Here is a 13247-nt window from a genome sequence, read left to right on the forward strand (position 1 = left end):
GGCTGAGATTGCACCACTGCACTCCAGCCTGGGCAACAGAGCAAAACTTCTCCTGAAAAAAAAAAAAAGAAAGAAAATAAAATATAATTTCAAGACAAAAACTATAAGAAGAGAGACAAATCAGGTCTTATGATAAAGGGGTCAATTCAGCAAGAGGCATTAAAAATTGTAAATATATATACACCCAAAACTCAAGCACCTAGATATATAAACCAAATGCCATTAGAGCTAAGGGGAGATGTAGACCCCAATATAATAATAGCCAGACACTTCACCACCCCACTTTCAGCATGGGATAGATCATCCAGACATGAAATCAACAAAGAAACATTAAACTTAATCTACCCTATAGACCCAGTGGATCTAATAAGTATTTACAGAACGTTTTATTCAATGGCTGCAAAACGCACACTCTTCTCAGCCCATGGATTATTCTCAAGAATATACCACATGTTCAGTCACAAAACAAGTCTTAAAACATTCAAAAAATTGAAATAATACCAAGTATCTTCTCCAACCACAATGGAATAAAACTACAAATCAATAAGAGGAATTTTGGAGACTATACAAACACATGGACACTAAACAATATGCTTCTGAATGTCCAGTGGGTCAATGAAAAAATTAAGGAAATTGAAAACCCTTTTTACACAAATGATAATGGAAATACAACATAACAAAAACCTATCAGATACAGTGAAAACAGTACTAAGAGGGAAGTTTATGTCTATAAGCGCCAACATCAGAAAAGAGAAACTTCAAATAAACAGCTTAATGATGTATCTTAAAGAATTAAAAAAACAACAGCAAGTCAAACCCAAAATTTGTACAAGAAAATAAAGATCAGAGCAGAATTAAATGAAATTGAAATAAAGAACACAATACAAAAGATCAATGAAACAAAAAGTGGCTTTTTGAAAAGATAAAGTTGATAAACCTTTAGTCAGACTAGCTAAGAATAAAAGAGAAAAGATTCAAATAAATAAAACCAGAGATGAAAAAGAAGACATTTCAACCAATACCATGGAAATTAGTGGCCATGGTATTGGATCATTAGTGGCTACTATGAGCAACTATATGCCAATAAATTCGAAACCCAAGAAGAAATAGCTCCTAGACAGATACAACCTGCAAAGATTGAACCATAAGAAATGCAAAACCTGAGCAGAACAATGAGAAGTAATGAGACTGAAGATATATTTAAAAGTATCCCAGCAAAGAAAAGCCAGAGACCTGATGGTTTCACTGCTGAATATTTTTTAAGAGATGGAGTCTCTTACTCTGTTGCCCAGGCTGGAGTGCAGTGGCATGATCTTGGCTCACAGCAACCCTCACCTCCCAGGTTCAAGCAATTCTCCCACCTCAGCCTCCTTAGTAGCTGGGATTACAGGTGCCCGCCACCACTCCCAGCTAATTTTTGTATTTTTTGTAGAGATGGGTTTTCGCCATGTTGGCCAGGCTGGTCTCACACTCCTGACCTCAAGTGATCCACCTGCCTCGGCCTTCCAAAGTGCTGGGATTACAGGCATGAGCCACCATACCCAGTCACTGCTGAGTAATTCTACCAAACATTTAAAGAAGTACTAATACCCATCGTACCAAAAAATGGAGAAGAGAATACTTCCAAATTCATTTACAAGGCCAGTTTTACCCTGATATCAAAACCAGACTAAGACACATCAAACAGCAACAACAACAACAACAACAGAACTACATGCCACTATCACTGATAAACACTCATGCAGAAATCCTCAACAAAATACCAGCAAACTGAATTTAACAACACATTAAAAATAGTATTCATCATGATCAACTGGGATTTATTCCCAGATGCAAGGATGGTTCACCATATGCAAATCAATGTGATACATCATATCAACAGAAAGAAGGACAAAAACCACATCATAATTTCAATTGATGCTGACAAAGATTTTGATAAAATTCAACATCCTTTCAGAATGAACCCCCTCAAAAAACTGTGTTTAGAAGGAATATACCTCAACATGAAAAAAATATGTACAACAGAGCCACAGCTAGTATCATAGTGAATGGGAAAAATCTGAAAGCCTTTCCTCTAAGATCTGGAAAACGACAGGGATGCCCACTTTCACCACTGTTATTTGACAAAGTACTGGAAGTACTAGCTAGAGCAATCAGACAAGAGGAAGAAAGAAAAGGCATTCAAATTAGAAAGGAAGAAGTCAAATTGTCCTTGTTTGCAGATGATATGATTTTATATTTGGAAAAACCTAAATACTCCCCTAAAAAACTATTAGAACATATAAATTCAGTAAAGTTTCAGGATACAAAGTCAACATACAAAAATCAGTAGCAGTTCTATATGCCAACAGTGAACAATCTGAAAAAGATATCAAGCAAGTAATCACATTATTACTAGCCACAAATAAACAGAAATACCTAGGAATTAACCAAAGAAGTGAAAGATCTCTGTAATGAAAACTATAAAACACTGCTTCAAAAAACTGAAGGGGACACCAAAAAATGGAAAGATATTCCATGTTAATGGATTGGAAGAATCAATATTAAAATGTCCATACAACCCAAAGCAATCTACAGACTCAGTGCAGTCCTTATAAAAATACCAATGACATTCTTCCCAGAAATAGAAAAAACAATCCTACAATGTATATGGAACCACAAAAGACCAAAGTTATCCTAAGCAAACAGAACAAAACTGGAAGAATCACATTACCTGAGCTAAAATTATACTACAGAGCTATAGTAACCAAACGGCATGGTACTTGCATAAAAAGACACACATAGACCAATGGAACAGAATAGAGAATGCAGAAACAAATTCACACCCCTACAGTGAACTCATTTCTGACAAAGGTCCCAAGAACATACACTGGGGAAAAGACAGTCTCTTCAATAAATGGTACTGGGAAAACTGAATATTAATATGCAGAAGGATGAAACTAGACCCCTGTCTCTCACTGTATACAAAAATCAAATTAAAATGGATTAAAGACTTAAATCTAAGACTTCAATCTATGAAACTCCTAAAAGAAAACACTGGGGAAACTCCTCAGGACATGAGACTGGGCAAAGATTTCTTGAATAATATCCCACAAGCACAGGCAACTGAAGCAAAAATAGACAAATGGGATCACATCAAGTTGAAAAGCTTCTGCACAGCAAGAGAAATAATCAACAAAGTGAAGAGCTAATCCATAGAATGGGAGAAAATATTTTCAAACTATCCATCTGACAAGAGATTAACAACCAGAATATATAAGGAGCTCAAACAACTCAACAGGAAAAAATCTAATAATCTGATTTTAAAGCAGGCAAAAGATCTACATAGACATTTCTCAAAAGAATGCATGCAAATGGAAGCAGGTATATGAAAAAGCATTCAACATCATTGATTATTAGAGAAACACAAATTAAAACTACAAGATATCTCACCCCAGTTAAACTGGGTTTTATCCAAAATACAGGAAATAATGAATGCTAGCAAGGATGTGGAGAAAAGGGAACCCTTGCACTGTTGATGGGCATGCAAATTAGTACAATCACTATGAAGAACAGTTTGGAGGTTCCTCAAAAAACTAAAAATGGAACTTCTATATGATCCAGCAATCCCATTGCTAGTTGTATACCCAAAAGAAAGGAAATAAGTATATTAAAGGAATATCTGCACTCTTATGTTTATTGCAGCACTATTCACAATAGTCAGGATTTGTAAGCTACCTAAGTGTCCATGACCAGCTGAATGGGTAAAGAAAATGTGGAGTATTTATACACAGTGGAGTACTCTTCAGCCATGAAAAAGAATGAGATCTTGTCATTTGCAACAACATAGATGAACTGGAGGTCATTACATTAAAGTGAAAGGAGCCAGGCATAGAAAGACAGACTTTACATGTTCTCACTTATCTGTGAGAACTAAAAATTAAAACAGTTGAACTCACGGAGATAGAGAGTAGAAAGATAGTTACCAGAGGCTGGGAAGGGTAGTGGTGGGGGTGCAGTGGGAAAGTGTGGATGGTTAATGGGTACAAAAATATAATTAGAATGAACAAAACCTATTGTTGGATTAAATAACAGGGCGATTACAGTCAACAATAATTTATTGTACCTTTAAAAATAACTGAAAGAGTATAATTGGATAGTTTGTAACACAAAGGATAAATGCTTGAGATGATTGATAGCCCATTTACACCAATGCCAGTGTGATCATTATACACTGTTTGCTTGCATCAAAATATCTCATACTGGCCAGGCAGGTTGGCTCATGCCTGTAATTCTTGCACTTTGAGAAGCTGAGGTGGGAGGATCATTTGAGCCCAGCAATTTGAGACCAGCTTGGGCAACATAGTGAGACCCCATCTCTAAAACGAACAAAAACAAATTAAGTCTCATATACACCATAAACATATACACCTACTATGTACCCCACACAACTTAAAAATTAAAAGTTAAAAAAACAGAGAAAGTTAATGAAGCCAGAAACTAGTTACTGGAGTTGATTAATAAAATATATAAATTTTTAGCCAGGCTCACACAAATAGAAGATACATAGTATCAATATCAAAAATAAGACAGGTAACATCACTTCAGATTGTGCACTTATTAAAAGGATATAGAATGTTATCAACAGTTATGCCAATAAATTTGGCAATTTCAAATGCACAAATTTCTTCAAAGACACAAACTACCAAAGCTTCCTTAAGAAGAAACTGATGACATGATTAGCCCTATATCTATTAAATAAATTTAACTGAAGTTTAAAAACTTTTCCACAAAGAAAATTTCAGATTATGACATTTTAATTCTTTTTTTCCCCTATGGAATATGCTAATTTTATTCTATGAGCAATGGGGACTTCATACATGTTTTAAAAATAACTTTTTTTTTAAATTTCAAATGTGCATTACGGGGAATTGAAAAACACAAGAATCAAAGAACAAAATAATCCACAATAACAAGCATCTTACAGTTGGATGTGTCCTTCTAGGTCCTGTGTTGTCTATATACAACATCCAATTTTATGTGGTTGAGATCATGCAGTATGTATCATGCCTTTTCACACATTATGAATATTTACCAATTCAAAATCTCAAGTATTTTGATAACTGAGAATATACTACACCAACTCAATCTATATTAAAAAATATATAATCCTGCCTTTCTTGGGGACAAAAATTTCACAGAAGCCCAAAATGGCAATAGGCGTCTAGATAAAGGTATCGGCAAAGTTAATAAAAATTACTGCATTCCCTTAATGCTCTATTTAAAATGAGACATAAAGCAAGAGTACACTAGTATGTTTCTAAGAGAATTCATTATCAGAACTATATTATTAGAATATTAGTGAAAGGCCGGGCACTGTGGCTCATGCCTGTAATCCCAGCATTTTAGGAGACCGAAGCGGGTGGATTGCTTGAGCCCTGGAGTTTGAGACCAGCCTGGGCAACATGGTGAAACCCTGTCTCTACTAAAAACACAAAAACTAGCCGGGCGTGGTGGCGGGCGCCTGTAATCCCAGCTACTCAGGAGGCTGAGGCACGAGAATCGCTTGAACCTGGGAGGCAGAGGTTGCAGTGAGCCGAGATTGCACCACTGCACTCCAGCCTGGGTGACAGAGCGAGACTCTGTCTCACCAAAAAAAAAAAAAAAAGAATATTAGTGAAAAAGCATGTTTCCATTGGATTACTGAGTGTGTTACTATAGTAGAACCAAAAGAGATGCACACACATAAATGGCTATCATCAATATGTAAATATAAACACATCTACATACATCTCTCCCTTTAAACTTCTTTCTGTCCTTTTGCTGCCAACCTAATGAGCAAGTTCTGATATACACTACTCAGAGGTGGTTTAACAATTCCATGTTCAAGATGCATTTTTTTCTATCCATTTATAACAAATATATATTTAGAAACTGATTTAGCTTTACTTTTTATCATCACCCCAAGACACCTATAAAACTTAACTGTTACAAAATAAAGAATGGACACTGCTGATGGGAATGTAAATTTGTTTAAGACTCTTTCCTGTCTCAAGTGAAGGGAAGGAGTATTTCCTGGGGCTTGAGCTGTGCTAACTGGAGTTGGGGGAGGGGTGGCACAAACACTCCCTTGATTGCCCCAGCTGGTGTCTCACTGGGTCGTATGCCCCCCACATCCACTGGCTCCCAGCCCAGCACAGCACCAGGACTTGCCCAGGAATTGCAGTCCTTGTGGCCTAGACTGCTTTTCAAGTTTATTTAGGACCCCAGAGCACTTTAGCTTGTGTTGGTGAGGCTTGCTGAAACTCAGGTTCCAACCACTGGAATGGGTGATTCCCCTCTGGCTAAGGCTGGTCTAGATGCTCCCTTGTTGGGTGCCAGCTGAGTTCTGCCCAGTGTTGTTTTCCACTGTGATAGGGCTGTACTGAGTACCAATGCAAAGTCCCAAAATCACTGCGCTCTTACTCCCCAAAATGCACAGATTCTCTCTCTGCGCTATATAACCTACTGCTGGGGGATATGGAAGCAGTGGCATCTGCAATTCAAGACTGTTTTTCTTACCCTCTTCAGTGCCTCTTTCAGTGATATGAAGTTAAAACCAGGTACTGTGACTGCTGACCTGATTTTTGGTTTTTATGGTGCTTTTTATGTGGATAATTGTTAAATTTAGTGTGCAGAGGGGCTGATTGGTAGAGGCTTCTATTCAACCATCTTGCTCCACTTCCTCCCATTATGTTGTATATATCTTCAACAGACACACACACACACACACACACACACACACACACACACACCCCAACAATCTAGAAATAGAAGACTAATTCCCTTAATATGATAAAAGGCATCTATGAAGAACCTACAGTTGACACCATACTTAATGGTGAAAAACTGAATGGTTTCATGCAAAGATTAGAAACAAGGTAAGGATGTCCACTCTCACCATTTCTTTTCAACATTTAATGGAGATGTTAGCCAGTGCAATAAGGTAAAAAAAACAAAAAGGATAAAAGGCCTCCAGATTTGAAAAGAAGTAATAATACTTGTTATTTGCAGATGAAAATCCCAATCAAAATCACAGCAGGATTTTTTGTAGAAATTCATAAGCGAATGAATTTTAGATTCATGCTGACACTTAAAAGACCTAGAAAGCCAAAACAGCTTTGAAAACAAAAACAGAATTGGAAGACTCAATATCTGAATTCAAGATGAGTATCCAGAAATAGACCCACACATATGTGGTCAATTGATTTTCAAGAAAGTTCTAAAGGTGATTCAGTAGAAAAAAAGACATCTTTTAATAAACTGTGCTGGTACAATTCAATATCCATGTGGGAAAGAAAACTCAATCCATACCTCACATCATAAACATTAACTAAAAAATGTATCCTATATCTAAATGTAAAATCTAAATGTAAAATCTAAAGCTTTCAAGTTTTAAATATAAAATTTAAAACTTCTAGAAGAAAACAAAGGAGAAAAATCTTTGTGATTTTGGATTAGGCAAAGATTTATTTGATGTAACACCAAAATTATGATCCATAAAAGAAAAAAGTTTGTAATTTTGACTTTATCAAAGTTAAGAACTTATGTTCAAAAGACTTTTTTTTTTTTTTTTTTTTGAGACGGAGTCTCGCTCTGTCGCCCAGGCTGGAGTGCAGTGGAGCAATCTTGGCTCACCGCAAGCTCCACCTCGTGGATTCACGCCATTCTCCTGCCTCAGCCTCCCGAGTAGCTGGGACTATAGGCGCCCGCCACCATGCCCAGCTAATATTTTGTATTTTTACTAGAGACAGAGTTTCATCATGTTAGCCAGGATGGTCTCGATCTCCTGACCTTGTGATCTGCCCGCCTCGGCCTCCCAAAGTGCTGGGTTTACAGGCATGAGCCACCGTGCCCGGCCTAAGACATTGTTAAATAGAATGAAAAAAACAAGCCATAGACTGGAATATTGACAAATCACATATTTGAAGAAGACTTGTAATCTTAATATATAAAGAACTCTTAAAACTCAAGAATAACAAAACATCTCAGTTTGTGTGTGTGTCTGCGTGTGTGTGTGTCAGCGTGTGTGTGTGTGTGTTTTTTTTTTTTTGAGACAGAGTCTCACTCTGTCACCCAGGCTGGAGTGCAGTGGTGCGATCTCGGCTCACTGCAACCTCCGCCTCCCGGGCTTAAGCCATTCTCCTGCCTCAGCCTCCCAAGTAGCTGGGATTACAGGCACCTGCCACTACGCCCAGCTAATTTTTGTGTTTTTAGTAGAGACGGGTTTTCACCATGTTGGCCAGGCTGGTCTCGCACTCCTGACCTCATGTGATCCACCTGCTTCAGCCTTCCAAAGTGCTGGGATTAACTCAGGCCTGAGTTTCCTCATTTATAAAATGAAAAAGGAGACGATATTTAAGTCCACTTTAAAATGAATACATTGAGCTCCTTTGTAAAAGTTTTAAAAAGGTAATTAAACAATTCCATGTGGATTAAAAATCTAAATGTGAATGGCAAAATTATAAAACCTTCAGAAGATATTTGCAAGAGAATATTCTTATGATTTCAGGGTAGGAAAGGATTTTTAAACAAGACACAAAATGAATAAACTATGAAGGAAAAGATCAAACATTTAAATTAAGAACCTCTGATCTACAAAAGATACCAGTGGAAAACAAATGCCATAGACAAGAAAAAGATATAACCACCAAAGAATACAAACCAAGAACAATGAACTACTATAAATCAGTTTTTTAAAAGGAAAATGTATGTCCACTTTGGAAAATAATTTGGCCTTACTTAGTACAGTAAGTATGCACCTACTCTATAGCTAATACTAGATACATACCCTAAAAAATTATTTCACATGTACTTCAGGAGACATTCATTTTACTTCCAAGCTCCTTTGGGTTGTTGTTAGAATTCAGTTCCTTATGGTAGTAGGACTGAGGTTTCTGTTTCCTTGTTATGTGTTCCCCTCCATCTTCAAGCAAGCAACAGTGTCAGGTCCTCCTGATGCTACAAAGTGACTTTATCTTTTGCCTTTTATTCTGCAGCATCTATAGAACATTCTCTACTTTTAAGACCTCATATGATTAGATTAGCTCCACCCCTGCCCTTTTTCTTAGGCAGGGTCTCACTCTGTTGCCCAGGCTGGAGTGCAGTGGCATGATCATGGCTCACTGCAGCCTTCTCCCACCTCAGCCCCCCGAGTAGCTGGGACTACAGGTGTGCACCACCATAACTGGCTAATTTTTTAATTTTTTGTAGAGACAGGGTTTCGCCATGTTGCCCAGGCTGGTCTCAAACTCCTGAGCTCAAGCAATTCTCCCTCCTCAGCCTCCCAAAGTACTGGGATTACAGGCATGTGCCACCACACCTGGCCGGGCCCTTTCTTAAGATGAACTAATTAGTAACCTTAATTGCAAATGAAAAGTCTCTTTATGGCAATACTTAGAATAGCGTTTGATTGAATAACCAAGGGACAGGAATCTTGGCAGGACATCTTTATTTTATTTATTTATTTATTTATTTTTAATATTTTTCTGAGGCAGGATCTTGCTCTGTTGCCCAGGCTGGAGTGCAGTGGCCTGAAGTTGGCTCAGTGTAGCCTTGAACTCCTGGGCTCAGGCAAGCCTCTGGGATAGCTGGGACTACAGGCGTACGCCACTATGCCTGGCTAATTTTGTTTATTTTTTGTAGAGACAGGGTCTCGCTGTGTTGCCTAGGCTGGTCTTGAACTCCTGGGCTCAAGTGATCTTCCTACCTCAACCTCCCAAAGTGCTCGGATTACAGGCATGAGCTGCTGCCCTGGCCTTGGCAGGACATCTTTAGAATTCTACTTATCGTAGTTATTATTCATGTCAACAAAGGTTTCAGTAATTGAGGACTTACTATTTTGATGACATCGTGCTGGTAGCTGAAGATTTAAAATATGTAGTCAACCAAGTTCAAAGAATATAATATAGTTGTGTGCCATCAATACAAAAGAAGCACTTGTATAGAATGTGGTTCTGTGAGGCCAGGAGCGGTGGCTCATGCCTGTAATCCCAGCACTTTGGGAGGCCAAGGCGGGCGGATCACCTGAGGTCGAGAGTTCAAGACCAGCCTGATCAACATGGAGAAACCCCGACTCTACTAAAAATATAAAATTAGCTGGGCATGGTGGCACATGCCTGTAATTCCAGCTACTCGGAAGGCTGAAGCAGGAGAATCACTTGAACCCAGGAGGCAGAAGTTGTGGTGAGCAGAGATCATGCCATTGCACTACAGCCTGGGCAACAAGAGCGAAACTCCATCTCAAAAAAAAAAAATGTGGTTCTGTGTAGGATTTGTTTTAAAATACTTTTCTAATTATTTCATCTGGGTTTAGCCAATTCTTCAAAATTATTCTGTTCAGTTGTTTTTTTTAATAAACCCCGCATATTGTCTGGATTTATTAATATTTATGTACCTGTACTGACAAACCATAGATTAACAGTTTTTCAAAAATCCCGTTTCAATAAGTCTGGGGTGGGGCATGAAAACCTATAAAACAAAATTTACCCAACTGAGATTTAAGACTTGAGATAAATCTCTCTTGATGCCAATAGTATTATTGCAATGCAGGCATTTCAGTAAGCTCCTATACAATATGCCAATTTTCTCATCTTTAAGTGGACTAAAGAGAAATGTTCTACAACAGTAGAAGCATTTTAACGTGATAACCAAATCAGCTAAGTGTTTAGTGATTTAAATGTATTTCTCAATAATATTTTCATAGTCTGACCATAATTCCATTCACTTTATTGTGTTTGGATATCCTCTTATATTGTGATTCATTTGAGAAGTTAATAGGCTCAACATTTTACAATAGTCAGTCTGTTGAGAGTAGTTAGAAAGACAGAAGGCTTTTGGTTCAAGTCATTTTTCTTTAAATAGCTCAATAAGCCACCTCCTCATGTTGAAATAAAAGCAGTTTAAACTCTGTTTAATACAGATTAAATTCTGGTCTAGAAAAGACAGAGACAGAGAGTATGTGTGTGTATAAAAGGAGCCAGGCAAACATATTTGTTACATCTAAACTTTAGTAAAATAAAAGAATTTTGACAAGCTTTTAGGATTCATTTTGGCCTATATTATATCAGTATATTTATTTGCTTTCTGAGAGAAACTTTGCTTGTTTTCAAATGTGAGGGAGATCAGAGGAAGCCTCCCCAAAATATGTCACTTTGGCATAATGATTACTTTGAGCTGAAGGCAACTGAGGAACAGAAGATGCAGAAAAAGTTCTAAAAGCAGAGTATAAATTTCTATTTTTGTAAAGGCAATTTCTATTTATAAAGGTATCCTCCTCTCTGGTACCAGAAAGAGGATACCAACTCTGGAGACAACTCTCATCACCTGAGATGACTTAAATCTGAGTAAGTCTCCTTCCCACACAACCTATCCCTCACCTCAAGTTCAAAATCCCTTTGTCCATACTTTGTTAAAATGATATGTAAGCCTCTGGGTCTACTGGCCTTTGGAGGCTTTCACAACTTTTCTATGAAGCTCCAATAGGCTCATGTAATAAACTTTTCACTTTTGTTAATCTGTCTTTTGCTAGTTTAATTTGTACGGCCCCAGGTACTGAACCTAAGAGGATAGGGAAAAGTTTTTTTCCTCCTCTACAAGTGGTAGTTATTTTAACCTGTTGAATTCATTGCAAAACGGCTGGCTTTTTTTTCTGCAGTCTACTTGACTTTTCTGCCCCATTTAACACTGTAGACTACCATGCCTTGATGCTCTCTCTTCTGTGATCTTCTCAAATGCCATTTTCCCGTCACTCCGATAATTCTTATTTTGGGCTTTCTCGCTGCCTTTAGATGTTGCACTGCTTTCCTTGGACCTCTTCCTTTTTCTCCAGTGTGCTTCCTTGATGGCCTTATCTATTCTCATAGCTTCATTTATTAATTCCCAAATCTGTTTCTCAAATGCCAATCTTAACCTTGAATTCCAAATTTGTATTTGTACAAATACAAATGATCTTATATTCCTGTTCTTAGTTAATGGTGTCATCATCCACCCATTTTCCCAAGCCGGAGATCTCAGAGTTATTCTTAATTCCTCCCCCTCTCACTCCTTTCATATTCAGTTACTAATCTTGAAATTCTCTTTCAGAAATATCTTTGGTCTAACCCATCTTTTCCATCCTATGTGCCAATGCTCTAGGTTAGGTTTGCATCCTCTCTCCCTTGGACTAACAAAACAGCCAGCTAACTTTTTACTTGCCCGGATCTAGTCCATTCTTTACAGTACCAGAAGTGCAACAGTGAAAGGATCTTGTCAATACCACAGCTTGCTTTTGGCTATTGAATAATGCCTTAGGCTAGCAAACAACTCACAACATGGTTAGTTATCTCATGATCAGTTTGGATTATTGTCGCTATATCAAACATACTACTCTTTCCTGATCACTAAAAACAATGTAAAAAAAGAAGAAAAGAGACTTTATCTTAGGAATGTAAGCCCTTTTAAATTATCAGGCCCAAACAGGCATTAGAATGAAACAGCAGTTACTTCACTTCACTTCCCCTTGGGCTAAATAATTGTCTTTTTTTTTCTTTTATATTTTCTTTTCTTTTCTTTTCTTTTCTTTTTTTTTTGAGATAGTGTCTCATTCTGTCACGCAGGCTGGAGTACAGTGGTGTGATCTCGGCTCACTGCAACCTCCGCCTCCCGGGTTCAAGAGATTCTTATGCCTCACCCTCTCGAGTAGCTGGGACTACAGGTGCATGCCACCACACCTGGCTAATTTTTATATTTTTAGTAGAGGCAGAGTTTTGCCATATTGGCCAGGCCAGTCTCAAACTCCTGGCCTCAAGTGATCCATCTGCTTGGCCTCCCAAAGTGCTGGGATTATAGGTGTGAGCCACTGCACTTGGCCAAATAATTGTCTCTTGATGCCACCTGCTACGTGGGCCCGAGGCTGACACCAAGAAGCCATGAAATGCTACAGCTGGACACCAGAACTCATATCGTATCGTTCAACAATGTACAGTCAAACACTTAATGTTATCTCTGTAAACCAATGAGAATTCCTGTCAAACAACTTTTTTTTAAATTATTATTTTTTGAGACAGGGTCTCTGTCACCCAGGCTGGAGTGCAGTGGCACAATCTGAGCTCACTGCAGCCTCAACCTCCTGGGTTCAAGCAATTCTCCCACCTCAGCCTCCTGAGTAGCTGGGGATACAGGTGCCCACCACCATGCCTGGCTTATTTTTTTATTTTTTGTACAGACAGGGTCTCACTGTGTTTCCCAGG

The sequence above is a fragment of the Homo sapiens genome, chromosome 1, assembly GCF_000001405.40.
Source record: "Homo sapiens chromosome 1, GRCh38.p14 Primary Assembly".
Taxonomy (NCBI): domain Eukaryota; kingdom Metazoa; phylum Chordata; class Mammalia; order Primates; family Hominidae; genus Homo; species Homo sapiens.